The 25,785-nt window shown below is 43.1% G+C and overlaps 1 protein-coding gene and 1 long non-coding RNA gene across 4 annotated transcripts in view, besides 1 other annotated feature; one reads left to right on the plus strand and one right to left on the minus strand.

The window, feature by feature from the left end:
• Positions 1-13,115, minus strand: part of CNKSR3 (CNKSR family member 3) — a 123,171-nt gene extending 110,056 nt beyond the window's left edge. For 2 of the 3 annotated variants that reach the window (NM_173515.4, NM_001368117.1), the window contains exon 1: positions 12,493-13,115. In NM_173515.4, coding sequence (NP_775786.2) covers positions 12,493-12,544 — 52 coding nt within the window. In that variant the 5' untranslated portion in view covers positions 12,545-13,115. Of the gene's footprint in view, positions 1-12,298 lie in introns of all 3 variants that reach the window. The other variant, NM_001368116.1, reaches the window with a different exon arrangement.
• A 105-nt stretch (positions 13,116-13,220) lies between these two features.
• LOC101928868 (uncharacterized) lies at positions 13,221-24,741 on the plus strand. The gene is made up of 2 exons (XR_001744422.2): positions 13,221-13,392; positions 23,749-24,741. It is a non-coding gene; the product is annotated as an uncharacterized LOC101928868 (long non-coding RNA).
• Positions 16,374-16,614: a transcriptional cis regulatory region, noted in NCBI's record as "candidate enhancer chr6.5343 targeted for multiplex CRISPR interference". NCBI's record gives its function as "positively regulates CNKSR3 gene expression with high confidence in K562 cells {active_cell/tissue: K562}" and the evidence as "EXISTENCE:mutant phenotype evidence [ECO:0000015][PMID:30612741]".
• Positions 24,742-25,785: the final 1,044 nt, after the last annotated feature.

Here is a 25,785-nt window from a genome sequence, read left to right on the forward strand (position 1 = left end):
TAGCTTTTAGAAAGGGAGCTAATGGTTGAAATAAAAATCTAATGAAGGTTTATCAAAATGTCATTCACAATAAATATGTATGGTATGTTTATCTGTATATGTGTGTATATACACTTATGTATCTCTATAGCCTGTATACTTACAACGCAAACTGAAAGACTACAATATTCTCCTGTGTTTAAGAAGTTTTGTGAATTGTGTTTTGGGGTGAGTGCCATTCTGGATTAAGAACTGAAGCTGGTGTTTCTTGTTTGCTTCATTTCCCGATGCAGAGCACCTTGAAGATGGAAAGAACCTTGAGTCAACAGATAACTTACTAATTTACGTAGGACCCCACTAACCAGCACAGAGATGGGGGCACACTCCCTATTTTAGGTGATATGTGAAAACTTTCTGTGCAAACACAAACAGCTCCCATCAGAGGCCAATATTATATAGCCACTATGGGGAGGTAAACTCAACCAAGAGAAGCCGAATTCCTGTTTTTACCCTGAAGAGTAACTATTCAGTGGTTTGCTGAATACATCAGGGCATGAGTGTTTCTGGCTAAATAATACCTGCATGGAATTACATGTTGCAATTTTAGGAATAACGGAATTAGGTAAATAGGAAAAACAAATTATACATTAAAAAAGTTTACTGAATAGCTGATTAATTACTATGCAGCCAATTTTATTCACATCTTACAGGTGCGCTTCTCACTGGACAATTAACACCTGACCATGGCTGTCCACAGAGGAAATTGCAAACTGGTCCATAGATATGTTTTGTTTGGTCTACGTCAAAAAAAAAAAAGCTATAGACAATTTTGTGAACACTGGGAAATGTCACATAGAAACCCAGATTTACAGCTTCATTTGACAAGAACAAAAAAATGACAAAAATCAGAAGCTCTGGAAACTTCACATCCACAATCAGCAGAAACCAGACAACACATGGCTTTGGGTTTGCCACAGTCTCCACCACTCCCTACTGTCACGCCCCCACACTGCAACTTCTGACATTGCCTCCTGGCCCCTATAGGCAACCGTGTTTGCAATTCCTGTTACAAGTCTCAGTGTGATTCCTGTTACAAGTCTCAGGGCCATTCCTGGTCTTTGGTGTTCACTTCTGCAGTGTCTTTTTTATTCTGGACTCTCATGGGTTTTGCCAAAAGTACAGGTTCAAATTCCATCTACACTGATTCAACGTTCACAACGCCCACCTACTAAGACAAAAGAGCTTTTTGCTTTGAAATGCAACATGTTTGTGACTCAGTATTGCTCTTTTCTGATTTTTCTTTCCCTCACTTCTCATCTCCATGCTTTGTTCAAAGCCAAAACCTGAGTGCTAAGTGAGGAAGCTCAACTATTTTCTCGCAATGGAGGGGAGGGGGTTACATTCTGCTCCCCTATTCGAGTCAGGTCTGGAAATTCCACATGAAAGCTAAACAGGTCCTTTCGGACCCATGAAACATGCCCCTTCTGTGTGTTCCTGGGCTGAGCACTCACAGGGACAGGACGGAAGGATGCCCTGGGCCTGGGGTTTAACAGGTGGCTAAGAGCCCGAGGGGATACCAGCTTTAACTCTTCCCTCCCTATTCTGCAGAAAGGACACTTACAAGCCAAGGTTCATTACTCATCTACTTAAATATGTCACCACTGTCCTTACTGGAAACATTGTCTTTCTTAATCAGTTATTATGTATTAGCAAAAAACTGTGGACAGGCATTATGAGGAAGAGTCTGGCTTATGTCACCTATTTCCATAGAGTCCACATGAGTGGTGTAGACCCCTGATTCTCCCATTTTATCCTGTACCAGAATTCCCTGAGGAGTCTGTTAGCTTCCTGGATCCCACCCCCAGAGTTTCTGATTCTGCAGGTCTGGGGTGAGGCCCAGGAATTTACATGTCTATGTTCCCAGGTGAGGCTGGTGTTGAAGAAGTGAGTTCAAGAACAATGGTGACAGGATGTTGAGACGCCCCGCATGTATGTGCCTGGGAAACGGTCTCTTGAAAAGCTTGGTTTAAACACTCATTAAGTTTCTCTATTCCACGGTGCCAATCTCTACCGGGTTTTTTTAATGTGGGGGGTTCTTTTGGTAGACACAGGGTCTCACTATGTTGCCCAAGTTGATCTCGAACTCCTGGGCTCAAGCCATCCTCCTGTCTCAGCCTCCCGAAGTGCTGGGATCATAGGCGTGAGCCACTATGCCCGGCCTGTCCATCTCTGATTTGATCCAAGTAAGAATGAAGAATTTCTCCAGCTCCAGGAAGGGTTTTTCTTTAATCAGCTTTATGTAAAATTCTTCAAATTGGCCTGGGGTGCTTAGAATCAAACCACTTCAAACCATGTGTCTCCAGGCATCTTAATAGCAAAGAGTATTTATGTTTTTTTAAATACTTATTAGTAACAATTTAAGGCTTTAGTGTACAGAGTCGTTTCCTAAATGCCACCCACAGTTGTGTCATCTGCTCATGGTTAGTTTAAGACTCCAGTTGGTATCTCTGTTAAGATGGTGCTGACAACTTTAACAGGTGTTACATGAAGTCTGATCCACCCTACATATTAAGCTAGTTTTCCTCTATTTCAAAGATCATATTCCAACTAGTATTTTGACTTGATTCTCCTGAAGACAATGTAATATAAAATTACTGTGAGAACATGCAAAATTGTTCAATTAATGCATATGTAAGTAAAATTAGAAACACACACACACACACACACACACACACACACATCCACTCCCAATCCCAAAGCACTGAATTTCCCCTTTCCACAAATCTCTGAAAATAGGAAATAGAATGCTTCCTTTCACTAAAAGGTTATCCTCAGGAAAGCATGATTCAGATTATCATAATCGCCGCCTTTTCTGATAGAAAGCACGTAGGGGTTTTCCTCTGATGGAGCTGACAGACTGTCTCCTTTTGGGGGACTCACAGCTGGGTGTGAGCAAGGGGTTAAGGCTTCCAGGTTATTTTATTATCAGCCTCCCTCCTTAAGTTCCCTCTCCCACTCCCTCCCCTCTATGGAGAAGTGATATATTATGTGTTTAAAACTGCCCAGCTCTTGTTGAAAATTTCTCAAAATGCCATCTATTCCACCAAAAGTATGGGAGCTATAGTTTCTAAAGCAAACATTAGGATAGTCTTTCAGTAGGGCAAAATATTTTAAGTCAGATACACCAGTTTCTTTACTCAAATACTTTAAAAGTTTTCACATAGAAAGCTTTCTAATTTCTACATCTTATTGATTCGCATTCTAAGGAACTGCTTTGCTTTAATAAACAACCATATTTGCCCTTCTGATCCCAGGTTTAAAAATGTTCAATCAGCCATTTGATGTCAAAGAAAACAAAGTAGGCTAAGTCCAATTTCACAAAAACTCTATTCATAGATGAATAAACAGCTTCAGAAACTAGCCGCAGCAAAAAGTGCCAGAAAATAACAATGATGTGAACAAGGCAGAAAGACAGAGGGCGCTCTCTATTCTAAATGACCATCATACTTGGCCAGAGAGGAGCCAGGGGCAGAGGAGAGCATCTACCTTAGCCCTGGCAGGAGGGGAAAGAATGAGCAGACATCCCAACTTCAAATATAATGTTTACATTACTGAGATTGGAAGCTGTCAATGACCCAACTGTAACTAGAACTTGGCTTCACAAAGGCTGAAACTGCCAACACCTGAATCCAAGACACCATCGCCTCCAGAATACTGCAATGCCTTCCAGCTGGATTTCCTGAATTCATTTCTGCTCAAAAACCCTGACTGATCTTTCAACACACAGATCAAATACTGTCACTCTCTGCTTTCCACCGTAACTATTAAAAAATAAAAATAAAAAATTGCACCTCCCTGACCACGACTTGTAAGAACCTACATGATCTGGCCTCTGTGTGTCTCTCTCACCTGCTCTTCACCCATCACCCCCACCCTCGCTCTCATGACCCCACCACAACTTCCTTTTCTCAAACTCTCCAAGCCGGTTCGCACCTCAGGGCCTTTGCATGAGTTATTCCCTCTCCTAGAATGCCCTTCTCCCTAATTTTCTGATGGCTGGTTCCTTCCTACCATTCATGCCTAAATGTCACCTCTGAAAGGCTTTCTGATGACGTCATCCAAAGGAGTCCCCCACCCAGTCCCTCTCCTTCACCTCTCTGCTTTATTTTCTGATTTATGCTTATCAGTAGAAATTTTCTTATCATCTGTTTTGTGGTTGGTGGTGGCGTTTGTCACCCACACATCTACCACACTAAAGCCGGGACTATGGATTCCCAGCACTTAGAACAATACCTAAAACCGAGAAGATTCCCCTAAGAACAGGGGGAAAGCGTCCAAGGAAACAATGAGAAGACCGAAGACGGACTTGATTTAACTTACCTCCTGTATAACAACAAAAGGGTGAATGGAATTGTCATAAATTATTAATAAGCACATGAAGGGTGACAATCAGCCACAACAATATTAAACATTTAAATAAAAATATCCCAATTACACCACCAGTTAACTTGAGTTATTATTGATCATGAATAATAAGTGGGTAAACACATACGCCATACGTTATGCAAGGGGCTTTCCCTGTATTTCCTCTTTTAATTCCACACATATGCCATACGTTATGCAAAGGGCTTTCCCTATATTTCTTCTTTTTTTTTTTTTGAGATGGAGTTTTGCTCTTGTCGCCCAGGTTGGAGTGCAGTGGCACGATCTCAGCTCACTGCAACCTCTGCCTCCCGGGTTCAAGAGATTCTCCTGCCTCAGTCTCCTGAGTAGCTGGGATTACAGGTGCCCACCACCATGCCCAGCTAATTTTTTTTTTTTTTTTTTAGTAGAGACGGGGTTTCACCATGTTGGCCAGGCTGGTCTCAAACTCCTGACCTCAGGTGATCCACCCACCTCGGCCTCCCAAAGTGCTGGGATTACAGGCGTGAGCCACCACACCCAGCCTCCCACACTTGTTGGTTAGGAAGGAACTAGAAGGCACCACCTGGATAGAGCAGAAACCAGGGACGGGACAGGACCACAGAACAGAAGCCTGTGAGGCCTGGTCCCAGCTCCTCACCTCTGGACCTTGGACAATTCATTTCACTTCCAAAAGCCTCCTCCATGCTGCTCATCTGCAGTGGAAACTGCCTTCCTGTGCATCTCCAGGCTTCAGAAGAGTCAAATGAGAACAAATGCAGAAGTGCCCTCAGAGCTCATGAAAATAACATCTGATTTTTTCACTTAAAGCTTACATAATGGGTAAGCCAGTGATGACACGCCAGAAATAGCATAAATGAGAGGAAAGAGAGAAAGCAAGGCAAGAACGCTCAGGTCCGGGAGCTAGAAGACAACACGCTGGGTGAAAAGAGAGGCAGTGACACAGGCATGGGGACACAGACGGGAGGGCCCCTCTCGCTTCCTCACAATAAGGGGAATGCACGAAGGAGCCGGAGCAGGAGTTGTCACTTGCCAATCTCCATGGATAAAGGATGGAGCTACCCCAGTCTCAGCGCAACTCATATATTTGTGCCAAGTTTTTAGAACTGCCATGGTTATTTATTCCTGAAATGACATTTGGTGTCATTTCCCATCAACAATAAAATCTCCACCAAAAGTCAGTTAAGTGTGGTAAACCCCGTGTGGTCACCAACTATAGGATAGTGTGACTAGCCAAAAGCCCATCTCATCCTCCTAGGTCCTACTGAGGATCCTGAGAACAAACTTCAACCACAGTGACCACTGACCACCCCACAACTCCCTTCTTACTACTTGTGTTAAAGATTTTTTTTTAAAGGGGGGCAGGGGTTGGTCCTGAGCATGGTGGCTCCCATCTGTAATTCCAACACTTTGGGAGACCGAGCCGGGAGGATCACTGCAGACCAGGAGTTCCAGACCAGCCTGGGCAATACCACAAGACCCATCTCTACAAAGATTTTTTTTTTAATTAGCCAGGTGTAGTGGCATGTGCCTGTGGTCCCAGCTACTTGGGAGGATGACACAGGATGATCACTCAAGCCTCAAGCCCTGGAGTTTGAGGCTAAAATGAGCTATGATCGTACCACTGCTTTCTAACCTGGGCAAGAGAGCAAGACCCTGCCTCTTATTTAAAAAAAAAAAAAAGGCTGTTATAAGAACTCTTCAAGGAATAAGGAAGAAATCTCAAGGGAAATGTCTCACTTATTTTGCTAAGAATTGCCTGATGCTGTTGCTAGGTGGTGCTTATAAATATAAGCACACACCGTAAGACTGGTTTTTTACTTTAATTAGTGGCAAAGACAAGCCTTCTCAAATTAAGTGTCATCATTCCAGAATGTAAATAAAACAGCTGGAGTACATACCAGACCAGATAGCCCAATACTACAATAGCAGGACTCTAGCAAAGTTTGAAAACACATTTGCAGCTACGTGCTAGAACAGTGCTTCTCTAATTGTGATGGGTGCACGAATCGCCAGGGGATCTTATTAAAATGCAGATTCTGATTCGGCAGGCCCAAGCTTCTGCATCTCTAACAAGCTCCCAGGTGATGCTGAAGTTGCTGGTCACAGACCAGGTACCAGACAGGGGCCAACAGTTGACAGCAAAAACCATCCTATGCCATGCTCACTGCAAGCCCAGGTACTATTTTTTAAAAGTGAGGAAATATGGCTCAAACTAATTTACCCAAGGAAAGCTCACGAAATTTGCAAGAGGCATTTATCACTCCGCTAATCAAGAACCTTCCTGATCAGCTGCAAGTTCTGCCCCGGATCCTCTGACCAGCTGGTAAACGGCAGAGAAATCTCTTTGACACTGACAGGTGCCCCTGGATGATAAGAATACACCTTATGAAAGACTTCACTGCTCAGAGAAAACAGTTTGTGTCCTGGAGCTATAGGAAAAAGGAAGAGAGAAAGCAATAAAAACAAGGAGTAGAAATGTATGGAGAGCTTACATAAGATCACACAGTCAAAAGCAGAACTGGGATACAAACTGAGTCCGGCTCCAGAGCCCATGCTCTGAACCATTCAGCTCCACCCCCTGGTACAAGTAATCAAAGTGACAAAGTGATGGAGTACAGGAGAGCCCCAAGGAGACCACAACTACTAATTAGGGGACCCTGAGCAAATTCTCTCTCTGCTTCAGTTTCTTTAATATGGGCTGGAAATTATTCAAACACCTCACTGGGTTTTCTAAGGATGAAATCAAAGAGGCTGGACAGGTGCAATGTCTCACATTTGTAATCCCAGCACTCTGGGAGGCCGAGGTGGGAGGATCACTTGAGCTCAGGACAAGATCAGCCTGGGCAACAGAGTGAGACCCCATCTCTGTATTAAAAAATAATAAGTAAAGAAGTTTTATAATGAGAGAGCCTAAATAAACACTTAGAACAGCGTCTGCCAAGATAATAAGTGCATCAATCAATGTTTTTCTGTTATTAAGAGAATTTTATCACTGGAGTGCAGGAGAGTGAATGGAACCAAGGAGAGGGTGGAATGAAGAGCTTTTCTGAACTATGGCCAAATGGTAGACCTACGGCTGCTAAAACAAAAAGGCCTCCCTTTCCCAGGGACCACAGAGACTAAAAGAGAAGGTATAACCTAAACTGGAATCAAGGTAACAGAAAGAACTGCCTCTGTCTGGACGGTGGCAGGAAGGGCCTAACAGTGCAAGGTAGTACATTGCAGTTGACCTGTGATGTATCAGATCTCTGTAGTTAACTTGGAAATTCCAGACTTTCCATGGCCAAATAGTCAAGCACCTTAAGACTGCTATGTGTCATAAACAAATAGACACGACAGGGAAAGAGCAAGTCCCGTGGCTTAGACCTTGAGCAAGAAAGCCCCCTTTTCTCTTGGTTGGTGATGGGGACTGCTACCAACACTAGCAGCACCAGAAGCTGGCCAGAGAGACTTCTGTCCTGGGACCAAAGGTGGGTTTTAGAGATGTGCTGACTCAACTACACAATTTTATTATTATTATTATTTTTTTTTTTTTTTTTTTGAGACAGAGTCTCACTCTGTCGCCTAGGCTGGAGTGCAGTGGCACGATCTCGGCTCACTGCAGCCTCCGCCTCCCGGGTTCATGCCATTCTCCTGCCTCAGCCTCCCGAGTAGCTGGGACTACAGGCGCCCACCACCACACCCGGCTAATTTTTTTTGTATTTTTTAGTAGAGATGGGGTTTCACCATGTTGGTCAGGATGGTCTCGATCTCCTGACCTTGTGATCCGCCCACCTCGGCCTCCCAAAGTGCTGGGATTACAGGCGTGAGCCACCGCGCCTGGCCAACTACACAATTGTTGAGAGCCTACCCACTCGAGGCTGATCAACAGCCAAGGCTAGGACAGTTCTGCTGGGACAACCAGTCCCACGTCTTCCTCGTCGAAGGCACTCCCCAGTGGCCTTTTTAAAGCAGAAAAACGACTTGTGGTAGCTGCATTTGACAATGAAATTTCTCATATTTAAATCAAGCTTAGAGAAAAGGACCTCATATAAGTTCAGATTTTGACCTAAGAAGGTTGGACAGGAATGAAGATATAATGCTTTTTCTAAAACAGGGCTGGATATAAGTAGGGAATGTGGCACATGTGTACTCTGAGAACTGAGCTATGAAAATCAGTGCATGTAAATCCCTGTTGCCTGCCTACCAATATCTATTCTCCCCTTTTTCCTTTCTGACCAAACTCCAAGTTTTTTTCAGGGCCACAATGTACCAAACTTAAAAAAAAAGAAAGGAAGGGAAAAAGCAAAAAAGGAAGAAGAAATGAAAAGGAAAAGAAAGGAAAAGAGAGGAAAGGGGAGGAAGGAGGTAGTGAGGGAGGGAGGAAAGAGAAAGAAGAAAAGAAACAAAAGAAGGAAAAAGAAAGAAATTACAGCAACCAGCCTTCCCTGCTGCATGAGGTGGCCATGTGACATTTCTGGCACCTGAGATGTAAACCAGGTCACTTGACAGTTTTTCAAAGAACTCTTTAAAGGGGAAGACTTGGCTGCTACCTGTCTTCTGTCTTCCATGAGACTCCCTTCTGCCTGGAATAGGAAGACAATCATGCAGGAGCCGCCACCTTGCACTGAAGCATTAAGTATGAAAATGAACACCATGTGCCAGGCCATACCCTACGCCATGTGCTACGAATGGCTGAACAAGATGGCAGCGCCATGGAACCCCAATTTGGTTAACCCACTGGGTTTTCTGTTATGTGCGGCTAACCCTACACGTTGTAAAAGATCATTTGCTTTGCAAAGGCCTTTACTGAACTGACTGGCAAGGCGCCATGAACTAGGAATTAATTTGACTTACAAATAACTTTCTGACATGAACTAAAGATAGAGAATAACACAGACATATACTGGATGAGACTCCTCCGCTACCATATGCTATTCAGACCGAATCCTGAAGTTCTATTCATAAATGTAAAGATTGTCGGTGTGGTCTAGATGTGGCCTTGGGAAGAAACTCCTGAGAAAATGGAGTGGAGTGAAGCCAAACCACCTGCTCTGCTGGGTGACATCGGTCAATCTGTGTGTGACTCGGTTTCCTCAACTGCAAAATGGAAATAACTGTTCCTACCTCAAAGGTGGTGGTGCCTATTAAATGAGCTGATATTTGTACAATGCTTAGACATGTGCCTGACACACTGCTTAATAATTACTGAGGATCCACTAACATTACGGTAAAATTGGTGACAGTGTAGCTAAACATTAATAATAAAAGCCAGACAGGTTAATTCATTCTGTAGACAAGAACTTCTTTCCTAAGGCACACATCTGTCAAATAACAAGGAGGTGAGATCCAGCTGTCGACTGTGGCCAGGTTTAGACAGTTTTAAATCTAAGGCCTTCTATGGTTCTCATAATCGCCCTACCCAGATTCATGCAATACCAAGAGTAGCAAAGTCTACATGAAGAGCTGCTTATCAGTAGCATGTATTTATAAAATAAAGGTTGGGTAAAGAGATTAGCAAAGAGCACTAAAAATAGTCCTATAAGCAGACGAGCTTTTGTAAGTCGATAGTTCATTAAAAAGTCAATACTTGAGCATCATTATTATGAGAAATATTCAAGTAATGGGTCACGCAACTTGGAAGATTGCAGCCTCTTATCATCTTAGCCATCTTTTTTAGATTCGAACACAGAACGTATCCAGGTCTTTCTACTAAGCTGTATTTCAGGGTCCAAAAGGGCACAGGCATTTTGTATAACGTAGTCAAGTGCCAACCACAGGTATGTAACCTAGTAAGTATCGTAGGTATTGAGCCAGCCATAGATGTTCTTTCAGGTCAGGAGAAAACTTTTCCTAGATGAAAGTAACTCAACTAACTGATAACGTCAAGGCAACTGGCTAACAAAAACGTTTTAATCTACTTTCCCTTTTAAATACTCAACAAACATAACAGGATGTGATTTTACGCTTCTCCTTTTCCAATCCCAAGAGGGACAAAAACAACAACAACAACAACAACAAAACCAGACACAAATCTTGAGGGTGTGAAGATCTCACTCCATAATCTTCCTGTGCGCCTGTTACCATTTTTCTGATTGTACATTATCAACTAAGCTGGCAGAGGCTCAGAAAAGCCAGGGTGATAAGATGTAACCCTTTCTTTCTGCTACAGCAGAACTGTCCAATAGAAATATAATGGAAGCCACAAATGTGAGCCCTGTGTTATTTTAGATTTTCTAGGAGACATATGTAAGAAGGTAAAAATAAACAGGTGAAGCTTATTTTAGTAATATATTTTATTTAACCTAACGTATCAAAATACTATCATTTCCACATGTAATAAAAAGTATTAAGATATTTCATGTTCTTTTTTTTCATACCAAGTCTTCAAATGCCATGTGTATTTTAGACTTACAGCACATTGCAATTCTAACCAGCCACATTTCAAGGGCTGCAGAGCCACAAGTGGTACTGGTTACTAAGTTGGACAGAGCGGCTCTAGAAGTCAACAGTAGCTGAAATTTGCAGTGTCTCAAGTTGGCTCTATGAGGGACATACAGATAAAATACATATCAACTCAGTTTCAGGAAGCTGCCAGCCTAGGGAATTTGGCAGCATCTTGAATGGAGGAACACACCTCATTTCAAGCTAGCGTGGGCATGGATGGCTTTTAAGCTCATGCTTCCTACCAAGTACTGGCAATGCCACTTACTCTTTACCAAGGGAAACCTAGTCACCAAGGCAGAAACATGTGTTGTTTTTAGCTTCATTTTATATAGGAGTCCAGGAAATTCTGCTCACTTGACAAACCCGTTCTCAAGGAGTTCTCCCAGAGGAGCAGGAAATGGTCAGACATACCCACTGACACACCCCACACACCTCGGACATCCTATTCCACGTGGTCTATGTGTAAGTCACAGGCGTGAGAAATGAGATGTAGCGGTGATCAGTTTTCATTATGCTGCAGCCATGGGTGGGACGGTTTGAAAGACGACCTGGTCTTACCAGTATTACCTACCTCACAGGCTTACTGTGATGACCAAGGACAATAACAGAGAGAGCTCTTAGCAAACTGTAAAGCGCTACACAATTCTAGTTATTACTGAGAAAGAACACCATTCCTCACCTGGAAGAGCAGATAGAAAAACAAATAGTAACTTGAAACAGAGATGTCGTTGGGGGTGGGGGGAAACCATGAAAATACAGATTGTTCTTGGTGGACTTTGTTCTCTTGAAAGTACAGAAAAGGGTTGAGTAAACTCTAGTACCTTTCCCTCGAAATCGTAGGAGACATTGAAAAGTAAGCGAGCCAGCTAGGAGGACAAGCTTCTACCTCTGCTCATTCCCCCCACCACCCCCCCACCGCCCCAGCCCCACTGCCTTCCTCATCCCAAATATTGTATGAATCAAGACAGTGGTTCCAAACAATTATATTTCTCCTTCCCAGTGCTTACATGTGGCCTGAAAATGCAGCGCCACCGGGGATACTGGCGCCTCCCGGAGCAAAAGTCACTGCCTCCCGGGGAGTCCTGGCTCGAGGTTTCTCCCTGGCGCAAATGCTATGGTGTTGGCTTTTGCGCGGCCCTCTCGCCTTCTCCAACAAAAACAGACAGGCTCGGCGGACCCGCCGGAGTCTCCCTCTACCTGTCCGACAGCCCTGTCACGCCTGCGGACGGCTCTGGGCAGGCGGCATGGACGAGGTCCCGCGGGAGTCACCCACACAAAGGCACCTTGTGCCTCTGCACTCGGGCCCCCGGGTCGCCGGGCACCGCACCGGGGCCAGGCAGGGAGAGCGCCCCCCGGCCCGAGTGCCGAGTCCCGAGATCGGCATCCCCAGCCCTCAACCGCCACAGAAAGGCCACCCCTACTCCCTGGTTTAAAGATAGGGCTCCCCTCGGCTTGCCACAATCCGCACCCTGGAAAGGAAGAGCTCGGAGCAGGTACGAGAGATAGGAGCGCACAGGCCACTCGGCAGAAGTTTGCATTGTCACCGGGCTGTGCCCTCACCGCTTCTCGCCGGGAGGAAGGGCCAAGTACCCTCTTCCCCAGCTCCTCGTCCGCCCCATCCCCGAGGCTGGAGGACTCCGGACCCCCCCAAGGCCCGCGCACCTCTAGTCCAGTCCACCACTTGTTTGGGGCTCCACTTGGTCACGGGTTCCATGGTAAACCGCTTCGCCTCTCGCTGGGCTGGAGAGTCGCAGATAAAGTGCTGCTGCCTGCGCTCCGGTGCCCCTTCCCGGGAGGGCGCGCCCGCGGCTGCTCCCCTGCGCCCGAGCGACTCCGTCAAGACTGCATGGCCGCGGTCAGCCAGTCGTCCCAGCGCGGCTCCGCCAGGGGAGCCCGGCCCTCTCCCTCCAGCTGCCACAGTCCAGCTGCAGCTCCTCCTTCCCCCGCCGCCGCCGGGATCCCGGGCACAGCTGCTGCTCCCGAGCGACGGCAGCTGCAGGCACGCCGGGCTGCGACCCCAGACCCCTGGCCTCGGCTCGGCACGGGAGCCTCCCGGCCCGCGACCACTTCCTCGGATCTCTCGAGGCGCGATCGGCTCTCCCTCGGCCGGTCTTCTCGCCTGCTGGCTCTCCGGGGTCCCCGCTCCGCGTGCGCTGGCGTCCCGGAGCCTTCCCGGCGCAGGTCCCACCTCCTGCGCCGCCCTCCCGTGCCGCCCTGGCAGGGCCGAGCGCAGAGCGTGCGCGCTCGGGTTGCAAAGTTTCAGCTCCGGTTGCTGCAAACCGAATAAAAGAGAGGGCGGGGCCGAGGGTCTAGGGAAACTCGTGGGAGGGGGCGGGTCCGCCCGAAGCGGCGGACTCGGGTTACTTTCCCTCTCTAAGCCGGTCCGGCTCACACCCGCAGCGTCCCGGGCCCCGCTTTCCTTTTCAAGGGGCGGGTTGTAGATCGCGCGCGCACCCTGGAGAGCCCGCTGGTTTGTGTGAGGCCCTGGCCCTGTGGGTAGCAGAACACTCTGTCTCGCTGTGAGCAACAATACACTAAAAAAAAAAGAAAAGAAAAAAAAAAGTAAGATCTGCATGTTCTGTTCATTTTAAATGCTTTATATCGTAATACTACTCTGCCATTAAGCCGTCATTTTAGGTTTCTTAAAGTAGAACAATTTTTTTTTTTAGATGGAGCCTCGCTCTGTCGCCCAGGCTGGAGTGCAGTGGCGCGATCTCAGCTCACTGCAGCCTCTGCCTCCCAGGTTCCAGCGATTCTCCCGCCTCAGCCTCCGGAGTAGCTGGGATTACAGGCGTCTGCCACTACGCCCGGCTAATTTTTGTATTTTTAGTAGAGACAGGGTTTCACCATGTTGGCCAGACTGGTCTCGAAATCCTGAACTCAGGTGATCCGCCAGCCTCGGCCTCCCGAAGTGCTAGGATTACAGGCCTGAGCCACCGCGCCAGGCCAGAACAATTTTATTTCATTTATATGTTGACTGAAATCGTAACAATGTAACTCTTTTAATGCTATTGCTATGAAATTTCAACTTTGCGACTAAAATTAGATTGATGGCTTTTAGCGTTATATTTTGCTATATTATAATTTCATATTTACAGAGTGAGCTAATGCTCCTTGGGATTAGTCATTAACCGTGAGAGGAAAGCTGTTAGCCAAGAAAAAAAAAATAGCTCGTGCACAATTTCAGCGCCTGGCAGGGGAGGGCCCTTCCACATTCATGGACTGCAACTGGGGCCAGAGTTAATGCTAAACTGGGGGAAAATCTAATTTGAATGCCTGCCTCTCCTTCAAGTTCTCCCTGCATCCTAACCGCCCCCCCAACCCCTGCCACCCTCGCCACCACCCCTCCCCTCACCCCCCAACACCCCCCCCAACCCCCCACCCCCGCCCCGCCCCGCCCAGCAACCTCTTCCTCCCACTCTTTTTGGCACTGAATGATTCTTACTTTCAATTACGGTTATTTATTTACATCTTCCTCTTGGAGACTATTAACCCCTTGAGGGCAGAACCTACTTGATCTCATATAGAGTTTTCTCTCCTCCCTTTCTTCCTACCACCTAACTTGTAGCACCCAGCACGGGACCAAAGGCAAGGTTGGTATTTATTCATTCAGTAAATATCCGGGAATGCTTCCTATGTGCCAGCCACTGTATTCATTCAGTATTTGTTGAATTCGTGTGATATGTGCTACTTACACAGGTCTGTTTGGACGCACATGTGGAAAAATAGCTAGCAGCCAGCCTAGCATCTGATGAGCTGGAGCATCCAAGCAAAAGAAACATTTTTAAAAAGCAAAACATCAGACCCACCTCCCATTCAACTCCCCTAGAGGACTGGGCAACACAGAGACACACAACTATCAAATATAGTGATTCTTTTTCTTCATCTAGCGAAAGTGACTGGCAGACCACACAAGTTGGCAAAGGCAATGACAAAATTCCTGATATAGTAGTTGTCCTTAAAAAAAAAAAAAGACCTTTAAACTTAATGACATCCAGCATTAACCATCTTTACAGCAGTCAGCAGAGAGAAGGACCTTGACACTGGTTCACTGGAAAGGGTAACCAACCTGATGCACACCTTTTGTTTCAGCAATCACTGCCTGTTGTGTGATTTCTGATTATGATTAGGGTGACCACATAACTTACCTCCAAATCAAAATATTCTTGAGCATGAAAGAAGCAACTATCAAGAATTACATTGGAATAACATGAATAAACTGGGCCATACGGTCCCCACAATTATAAAAGAAAGGTCAAATATTAATGATTTTGCCGTGGAATTTTACTTGATGTTTTCACGTCTTCAGATTCATTGGCAGTAGTCTTTACCAGAAGAGCTAAAACACTAAAATTCTGCGAGTCAAGCAAGAGTTTGCAAAACATCCCACGGAGCCAACACACTATCTATACTTGGTACATAAATACAGCATAGCTAAAGAGGAAGGCCACGCTAAGATCTCTAACCCGGAAGACCAATTAACTATCTAAATGAATTAGCATTCTGTTTACACTTCAACTTCTGGAAGCTAATTACTATTTAAATAAAGCCTTCTACCTTAATTACAGCTGTTAGCACGTGAAAGTTTTAGGGAGGCCTGCCTTCCTAGCTGAAATGCAAACTTGAGGACATACAAAGCTATTAATGGCATACAAAGCTAATAAAGGCAGAATCTTAAGTAAATGGCTTTAAAAATTAAGTATATATAAAAGGATAATTTGTAAATTTGCTAACTTTTCTTCTCTGCTAGCTAAAATCTGTAGCTATTACACCATATGTTCACGCACATTACCAAACTGCAGCTATGCCATCTTCCAGATCAGAACTCTTCATTTGTGTCTTAATGTTTACTACAATTCCTCGCACATACAAGGAGTTCAATAAGCCTTTTTAAAATTGAATTAATATGTAGAACAGATACTAGAACCCAGATCTTCTAGATTTCTTTCCAGCTCTTCCGTTTTTCTGACTTTGACCCTTCTTGCATGTTTAAGTCATTTATTCAGTTGATGAAATACGTATTAGGTACTCACTAAACTAAGCACTAGGAGGATTCAGAAATGATGAGTAGCCTTTTAGATCAAAAACACCATGTGACTTTCTAAAGGTGGATTTCTTCTGTAGTCTTTCATCCAAGGAAAGTGACCTGGTAAATAAACACAAACAAGGGAGTTCGAGGACCAATGTGATATTAACGTTTTAAGCTTGTTCAAAATTTATTACTTCTTTATGTGAGAGCAAGGGATGGAGTATTTTGGATTGGTGGTTATACCTATAATTTGATAAACACAGAGGAGCAAATTAAGCAAACTTTTAAGCAAATTATTAATCTGCAAAAAGCCAGTCTCCTTCCCCAGTTAAAAACAATGTAATGTTTTCCAGAATAAAAGAAAGAAAGAAAGCAAGTTGCTCTAAATATTCAACTTTATTTCGCAATCTGAGGTTCTTCTCTTATTTTCTTTCCCTCACATTTCTTTTTAACTATTTTCAGAAAATTCAAAATTATTTAATTTTTTCACATATAATTGTCTCGTGTATGTTCTTAAGTTATCTTTTATCTTGAGAGATACCAAAAACGTCTGCAGTTTTCTGCCTGGAAAATATCCTACAGTTAGAGCTAAGCATTCTTATCTATGACATTACATCAGTGCAAAGTCATCACTGGTTAACTAAATTATCCAGACTGCTCATGTTCTTGTCTTTCATTTAATTCCATTTGGTCTGAATTCTTCACACCACGGTAATGTAGTTATCTCCCTGAACATGCCAGGTTCCCTATCAGATAATTCAGGTAGTAAAGACTTCAAACTTTATTATATTTTATTTTTCAAGTGCTGCCTCACTTATTCAAATTCTTCTGATCATTCAGGAACGTTAAGTCATTCTACAGTTGGAAAGCTGGTATTTGGCTTTCTTTTACTGAGCCCTATCTCTAACTCAAAGATCAATGTCAATTAGATAAATATTCAAAAACCTCACCTACTTTAAATCATACTTGGAAAAGTTGATTAATCTTTTCTAATAAAAAGAGAAACATTGATGTTGCTAAATTCTATTTTCAAGGCCTTATCGTTGTACCTTGGAAGAGTTGATAGATGAGGCAGTACCCACAAAAGAACTGGATGTCCTTGCCCTGAAGTGCAGAAGCTACTAACGAAGGAGGGTGCCACAGACAAAGAGGGAACAATCAAGCCTGCATTTTTTCCTGTGGATTTTTATTACTTTTTGTACCCCCTATCGAGTTGCAGATTATCCAAAAAGAACAGAATGCCATTTACACCAGCTGTTCTTACAGTTCCAATTTAACTTTATGGGACTCATAATCTCAGAACAAGTCAATATAATACCAAGAGTTTCAGACTCGGTGATTTTTGCTTCAATCATAAATTCTATGCTGATAAGGACAAAGTCTCAGGGTGAAAAAAGATTAATGAACATCACTCTAAACCTAAAAATAAAACAATAATTAAGTTAGGCAATGTAAAAATATAACATTTGGAAATAAAACGCAGATTTGGCCGGGGTTGGTGGCTCATGCTTGTAATCCCAGCACTTTGGGAAGCCAAGGCGGGTGGATCACTTGAGGCCAGGTGTTTGAGACCAGCCCGACCAACATGGTGAAACCCCATCTCTTATTAAAAATACAAAAATTAGCTGGGTGTGGTGGTGGGTGCCTATATTCCCAGCTACCCAGGAAGCTGAGGCAGGAGAATCCCTTGAACTCGGGAGGCAGGAGAATCCCTTGAACTCGGGAGGCAGAAGTTGCAATGAGTCAAGATCATGCCACTGCACTCCAGCCTGGGTGACAAGAGTGAAACTCTGTCTCAAAAAAAAAAAAAGAAAGAAAGAGAAAGGAAGAAAGAAAGAAAGAAGAGAGAGAGAGAAAGAAAGAAAGAGAGAAAGAAAGAAAGAGCAGGTTTGAGTATCCTAAACGCACTAAGCTAAAATTTTTTAAAATCTCTACAATGTTAACAAGAACATAAAAATAGTTTATATATTGTTTTATGTATTCAAGACACTTCTAGTAAAAATAAATAATAACAATTTAAAAATATGTATTGTTTTATATTTTTCTAACTTCAGTTTGGCATAACAAATATTTAATAATCCTGTTTCAAATAAAATAGAAATATATACCCAAATGCCCCAGACTATAACTAAGGAGCTTTAATTAACTTTGAGCTCAGTCTAAAAGTTGTCTGCTCTTCCATTACTTAGCTACCATTCCATACAGAGGAGGAGACTTTCTTCTAGTTTCAACCTACCAAAGGTATTTAAATTCTGCAGCCATTGCTAATCAACACATCCAGATTTTTACTAAAGGCACATATATGTTTCCCCTTTGGGATCCTTAGACATTTGAGCCTGTAACAGGAGACTATTCCTTAATTTTCCACAACTAGCTCCTTGCATTTGGAAATACTATAACCATTTGGGATGGGAGAGCGGTGGAAAGAAAAAGAACGTAGAAAAGCAGGAAGTGTTTCAGTCTACTTCAACATCAAAAGGGAAAGGATGAAAATTAATACCAATCAGGGTTTCCTGTAGGCAGTCAGATGATTTCATAGGATTTTGAGAACACTCCCAAAGGTCTCATAGAACAGGAAAACTCACACTTACTGCCAAAAAGTCAGCAAAGTGATTGTTGAAATCCACAACCAGCTCACAAATGATAGCGACAGTCATTGTTTTACAGTAATTGTTTTAATACATGCGCATTCCATTCTGGGAAAACTCCCAGATCAAATCTCTTTTTCCGTTCGAGTTCTGTATAACTTTTGCTTTTGGTTACAAAGGAATGGGCTTCTATCCGTTTCTTTTCCACTTTTTTTCCCATTCTCCTGGGCCTAGTCCCAGAGAAACAGCTGGAGTAACAGGCAGGTGGCAAGAGGGATTTCAGAAGCTGGAGGAGCCTCAGTTTAGGGAGCCACAGAAAGCCCTTGGGTGGTTAAACCAGTGTTACCTGAGTCCAAGGAAATCTCTGCTGCTAGTGGAGAGAACCCAAGGGAGAACCTGAATAACACTGGGAAATTAAGGCCACAGACTTCACTTCTGTCCTGCTCCAAGTTACATCCCCTGGGTGTACCGCTCAGCGGCCAGCCAGATGGAGTATGGGGTTTCTATCTATTTAATATTTCTCCTAGCACGAAAGGACAAGAGACATAGGGCCCACTTCATAAAGCACCTTCTTAAGGTTTAAGAAGGACAGGAATACAAATGCAATGCTGGTCTCACCTGGGAGGACCACGCAGTGCCATCGAAGGGGCCAAGTGTGCCAACTGTGTCACTCCTTTTCCAGAGTCACCTCCTCTGCCTTTGCGTCCATGTCTTCTTGTGAGATAACTTCATTTCCACTAAAGTGCTGGCCTAAGATTTCCCTTTTCTTGGAAAATTCATGTTTCCAAGAGGAACACTTCGCGATCCCAACTAACTTTATTATCCCAATCTCTTACCCAGTTTATAACTGGCCCTGTAACCTTGAGCAAGTCAGCTTCTTTGGGTGGAAAGGAACATTAAGGATCCTTCTAGCTGTAACATTCTCTTTTCTAATATTGAGATATCAGTTGTTGAGGGCAGCTAAGGAAGGGGATTTTATTTATTTATTTATTTATTTGTTTATTTATTTTGAGAGGGCTCTGTCACCCAGGCTGGAGTGCAGTGGCATGATCATGGCTTACTGCAGCCTCAAACTCCTGGGCTCGAGCAATCCTCCAACCTCAGCCTCCTGAGTAGCTGGGATTTTAGGCACGTGCTACCATGCCTGGCTAAGATTTTTTGTTTTGTTTTGTTTTTGTAGAGACAGAGTCTTACTATGTTGCCCAGGCTGGTCTCAAACTCCTAAACTCAAGCAATACTCCTGCCTCGGCCTCCCAAAGTGCTGGGAGGTGTGAGCCACACTGCCTGACCAAGAAGCCATTTTTGAATGAGAGAACAAATGAATTCCTTCCTGTCTGCCGTGAGTTCACATGGCTTACTGTGGTTGTGTAAACTCACTTGCTGAATTGGTTTTGGAAACATTAGGTTTGAAAATTGGAAATGGCCAGGCATAGTGGCTCATGCTTGTAATCCTAGCAATTTGGGAGGCTGAGGTGGGTGGATCACTTGAGCCCAGGAGTTCGAGACCAGCTGGGGCAACAGGGTGAAACCCTGTCTCTACAAAATAAATAAATAAATAAATATAATGAGCCAGATGTGGTTGTGCGTGCCTTGGTCCCAGCTACTCAGGAGGCTGAGGCAGGAGGCTCACTTGAGCCCAGGAGGTCGAGGCTGTGGTGAGCCATGATTGTGCCACTGCACTCCAGCCTAGGTGACAGAGTGAGACCTTGTCTCCAAAAAGAAAGAGAAAAGAAAAGAAGAGGGAAGGAAGGAAGGGAGGGAGGGAGGGAGGGAAAAAGACAGAAAGAAAGGAAGGAAGGGGAGGGGAGAGGAGAGGACGGGAGGGAGAGAGGCAAGCCGGGCATGGTGGCTCACGCCCGTAATCCCAGCACTTTGGAAGGCCAAGGCGGGCGGATCACAAGGTCAGGAGTTCGAGACCAGCCTGGCCAACATAGTGAAACCCCCGTCTCTACTAAGAAAAAAAAAAGAATTAGCTGGACATGGTGGCAAGTGCCTGTAGTCCCAGCTATTTGGGAGACTGAGACAAGAGAATCACTTGAACCCGGGAGGCGGAGCTTACAGTGAGCTGAGATTGCGCCACAGCCTGGGTGACAGAGTGAGACTCCAAAAAAAGAGAGAGAGAGGAAGGAGGGAAGGGAGGGAGGGAGGGAGGGCCTGGTGACAATGGGATAGAAAGGAGATTCAGGGTTCCGTATATTGTTTATATATTTTAATATAGAATGAAGATACACAATTTATCAGAAGCTATCAATAATGCAATGATAGCAAATCATACTTTGCATGTCAAACTGAGGCATTTCTGTCAGTATTAAAATAAAGATATTACATCCACAGAGAAATACTTGTTGCCATTATTGGTCATCAGATGCCAACTCAGGCTCCCCTTGAGGGTCTGACTCCCCAAGAAAGAGACACCATCTGGTGTGATGGTTAATTTTAGGTACCAGTTTGACTGGGCTAAGGGATGCCCAGAGAGCTGGTAACACGTTATTGTTATTTCTGGGTGTGTCTGTGAGAGTGTTTCTGGATGAAATTAGCATTTGAATCAGTAGGCTGAGTAAAGATCACCCGTACTACTGTGGGCGACCATCATCCAACCACTGAGGGCCCAAATAAAACCAAAGGCGGAGAAAGTGTGGATTTTGTCTCTGTCTCCTTGAGCCAGAGCACCTGTCATCTCTTGTCCTCAGACATCAGCGTTCCTGGTTCTCTGGCATTCAGACTCCAGTACTTATACTAGTAGCCCATACCCCCATCCCCCACCACCCCCGCCCCCCACCCCACCCCCCCACAGGTTCTCAGGCCTTCGGACTGAATTACACCATTGGTCTTCCTGCTTTTCCAACTTGCAGAGAACAGATGGTGGGACTTCTCACCCTTCATAATCGCGTGAGCCAATTCCCATAACAAATTAAAAAATGAAGTATATTGATATATACTTATATATGTCTGTGTGTGTACGTGTATGTATATGTGTGTATATGTATGTATATGTGTGTATATATATGTATGTATATGTAGGTATATGTGTGTATATATATGGGGGAGTTAGCATCTTGCATATTTGAGACATCTCTAGTTTTACAGTGACACACACTGAAGATGTTGGAAGCTCTTTGTCTCAGAAACACCTAATATTTTACAAAGTGTTCATATATATATATATATATATACACACACATATATATACACACACATACATATACACACACACATATATACACACATACATATATACACATGCCTGCGCACGCGCGCACACACATACATACATACATATATATATATATATATGTTGGGTTTTTTTCTCTGAAGAACCCTGATACACCTGGTGTAAACAAAGGGGCTCCAATTTCACTTAGGACCAAAACATTATCTGCCTTCCAGCCCCCTTTGCTCTGTCTTCCCCACAAACCTTACAGGCAAATATTGTTTGAGCTTTCATTTCTCTGGATTTTTACAGTTTGTATTCTGTTTAGTTCTGTGGTTCTCATTTCTTTTTTCCTCATATGAAAACACAACTATAAAATGACCTCTAATTAAGTTGTTATTTTACAAAGACTGAAAATCCAAAACCAGTGGAGTTTTTTTTGTTTTTGTTTTTTGTTTTTTTCCAGAATAGTGTACTGGAAGGTTCTAGTAGCCCTCCCACATCTCTTCATCAAGTAATGATCCACCAAATCATTTCATCTGTGATTAAATCATCTACAATGTCTTCCTCAGCCCTGTCATCATAAATTTAACCATTGCAATGCTGCTTAACATCAACATAAATACATCTTAGGTATGCATCCTCTCACTCAAAAGAATTCTCAAATGTAAGTATTGCTTTAATCAGCACTTGGCTTTTGTTTATTTAGGGCTCTTTGTGTAAAATATTAGATGTTTCTAAGACAAAGAGCTTCCATCCTCTTCAATCTATATCACTATAAAACTAGGGTGCTAACTCGCTCACCAATGCTTTCCCTACTCCTCCTTCTCTCTTTAACATCTGGCTCCATCAGCAGCTTCTTCTATTGAATGTGGGATCTAGTACGAATTAAACCTCTACATAACTGACAAGGTCTGAAATTTGACTGATTATCTTTTATATGGTTTTAAAAATTTCTTCTGATAGCATTTTTTTCTGCTGTTTTATTTGTTGGAAAAGTGGCAACAATTCAAGGAATGGTGTTTTCTTCAGTTACTAATTAATCCACTAAGAAACTTAAAAGCATTCCCTTCTGGGAAAAGGGAGCCTTATGTAGTTCACAAAAGTCCTTTATCCTAAAAGGTCCAAAGGCTAAATCGTTGTCAATCTCCAGTAGAGCTGCCATACTTTTAAAGACTCCCTGAAGGCGTCTCATGGAAGACTGCTCAAAGAAGAAGTCCAGTCATGGAGAAAAGTCGAGCTTGATGAATTCCACATTCAGCATTTCAGTCACTTAGAGATAAGCCTTGTAACTGTCATCACATATGGGCCACAAAAGGAGAACCTCTTATCTGTTCCGGTTAAGTATGTAAATATTATAGCCAAGTAGCCAAAAAATTACTCCTTGACTCACATTTCTTTAGATGTTATTGATATCCTCGGAACAACCATGCACAATCCCCCACCAGGTTTTTGGGCTAAAATGTAACTGACCAAAAATGGAAAGTTTCATTTTATCTTACAGTATTTATGTACCAACAATCCTGAGTAGTCTCCACATAGGAGCTGGACTTCTGTAGACAATATATGCACCACAAAATTAACTTATTTGAGAACTGGAGGGGATTTTTTTCAAATTGACAAATGAAAGTTGTAAATATTTATGGTGTACAAGATGATATTTTGATATACACACACAGTGTGGAATGGCTAAATCAAACTAAGAGGGGATTTTATTTTACCCTGGAGCATGTAATTCCAGTATAGCTGTCATTTAGGCAAATAATCTTTGATACAAATGTAAAGTAATAACAAGTGATCTTAAATTCATCCACAATTTCAGAAATGAAAAAGAAAAATCTCAAATATTTTTATTAAGGAAAATTTAAATGATGGTGGCAGCTTAGAAGTGACTAAAGTAGTTAGAAGAATGAAGCTCAAGAAATCAAAATTGTCAATAATTCTTTGTCCAACAATAATATTAATCGATAATAAGCAACAGATGTAAAACAAGGCATAACAAGGTATTATATGCTAACAAACAATAAGAATAAAACAAGTCATGGCTAATTTAAAGGTCTCTGAAGCACACCATTTGTTTTTTAATGCATCAGGGTAATTATGGTAACTTTTGAATATGTCCACAAATTCTTTGATATTTCCCTTTTCAGAGGTAAAGCCTAATTCCCCTCCCCATGAGGATGTGACTCGCTTCTAACAGAATATGGCAGAAGTAAAGATATGTGACTTTGAGACTATGTCATGAAGGACATTGTGGCTTCTGCCTATCTTTCTTCTGGATCACACCCCAGGGGAGAAAGCCAACCTCCATGTTGTGAGGACACTCAAGCAGCCCTTCGTGGAGGTCCGCGTGGTGAGGAATTGAGGCCTCCTGCTGATGGCTCATGCTAACTTGCTAGCCGTGGGAGTCAGCTACCTTGGAAGCAATCCTTCATCCCCAGTCAAGCACTCAGATGACCGCAGCTCTGGCCAACATCTTGACTGCAACCTGTGAACGACCCTGAGCAGAACTGTCCAGTTAAGCCACTCCTGGCTCACAGGAATGGGGGAGATAATAAACATTTATCGTTTCAAGCTGTTAAGTTTGGGGGTATGTTATGCAGCAAGAGATAACAAATGTAGAATATTTCACTCATTTCTACATGAAGATTTCTTTTCTTTTTTTTTTTTTTGAGACAGAGTCTCTCTCTGTCACCCAGGCTGGAGTGCAGTGGCGCGATCTCAGCTCACTGCAACCTCCACCTCCCGGGTTCATGCCATTCTCCTGCCTCAGCCTCCCAAGTAGCTGGGACTACAGGTGCCCACCACCACGCCTAGCTAATTTTTTTGCATTTTTTTAGTAGAGACAGGGTTTCACCATGTTATCCAGGATGGTCTCGATCTCCTGACCTCATGATGCGCCCACCTCGGCCTCCCAAAGTGCTGGGATTACACGTGTGAGCCACTGCGCCCGGCCCTACATGATGATTTCTATCACATAAATATACAATACTATATTTATCAAGCACTATATGTTAATAGATTCATTATCAATCCTATCCCGTTAGAATGTAAGCTGCATGAAAGAAGAAAGTTTGTTTTGTTCATTGCCATAGACTTACAGTGTTGATAAATAAATAAATATTTCTTGAATGTGTGAATCACTTGATGAGTTTACCATAATTTGTATCAGATTAAAAAATGGAGAATAAAAAACTTTTTAGACTAGTGTTTCATCAGTGGTAAGCTAAATAAACTTCAGCAAAGGGGTTAAAAGGTCATCATATTTATAGTTGAAAGCTGGAATAACCTTTCTACTGTTAATTTTGTTGTTTAGATACAGTACCTGTGAAATCTATTTGTTGACAAAAGGAAAAGATTCAACTGTAGATAAAATTCTATAATTTCTACACATAGTGTTTAACAAGTATGAGAAGAGAAAGTATTATAGAAAAACAATTACCAAACACACACATATAACACACACACACACGAACACCCCAGAGTCTGGTGTGGAAGTGTACTAAAAGGTCTCTACATGATGAACTCTATCAACAACTTCAAAATATTAAGGGACTGTAACATGAGTACAATGTGGTAAGTCTTCTACGAGCCAAAATAAATAGCGCAGTGTTCATTTTCAACACTCACAAAGCTGTTGCTTTCCTATGTGTGCCACAGAGCAGACAGGTCAGTACGTTTTCTTTCTTTCAGCAGCATTCCTATTTGCATCTAAAGACCCATCTAATCAATCTAATTATTTTCCACCATGTCCAATTGAATCCTTCTCTACTAAATTGCTTCTCTATTCAAGCTGTACAATTTCCTCTGTGTTCTTCCATGGTCATCATTGTATCTTTTACTTTCTTTGCCTTCACTGGACGTTAAAGAAGTGCCTAGTAAATGGCTATTCTGTATTTTACCATTCAGGTCTAAAACAGCCTTAAAAAGCCTGTAGTTATCTCCTGATCAATCCAACAAGGAGTTGAGTGTCTACCACCAGCTCCTACTGTTCTAGGTGATGTAAATGAAATAACATTTTTGAAAATTAGATCATCTTTTCCAAAAGAAAATACAATTCACCACAAAAAGATGGCACCGTAGTGAACAAGATTATCACACTAGTCTTATATTAGGCAATTGGTAAAAGTATGTATGAGTTCAGCTTCCTGGCTGAATTGTGTCCCAGAGATGGAAACTACGGAAGT

Source organism: Homo sapiens, chromosome 6 (genome assembly GCF_000001405.40).
Source record: "Homo sapiens chromosome 6, GRCh38.p14 Primary Assembly".
Lineage (NCBI taxonomy): Eukaryota > Metazoa > Chordata > Mammalia > Primates > Hominidae > Homo > Homo sapiens.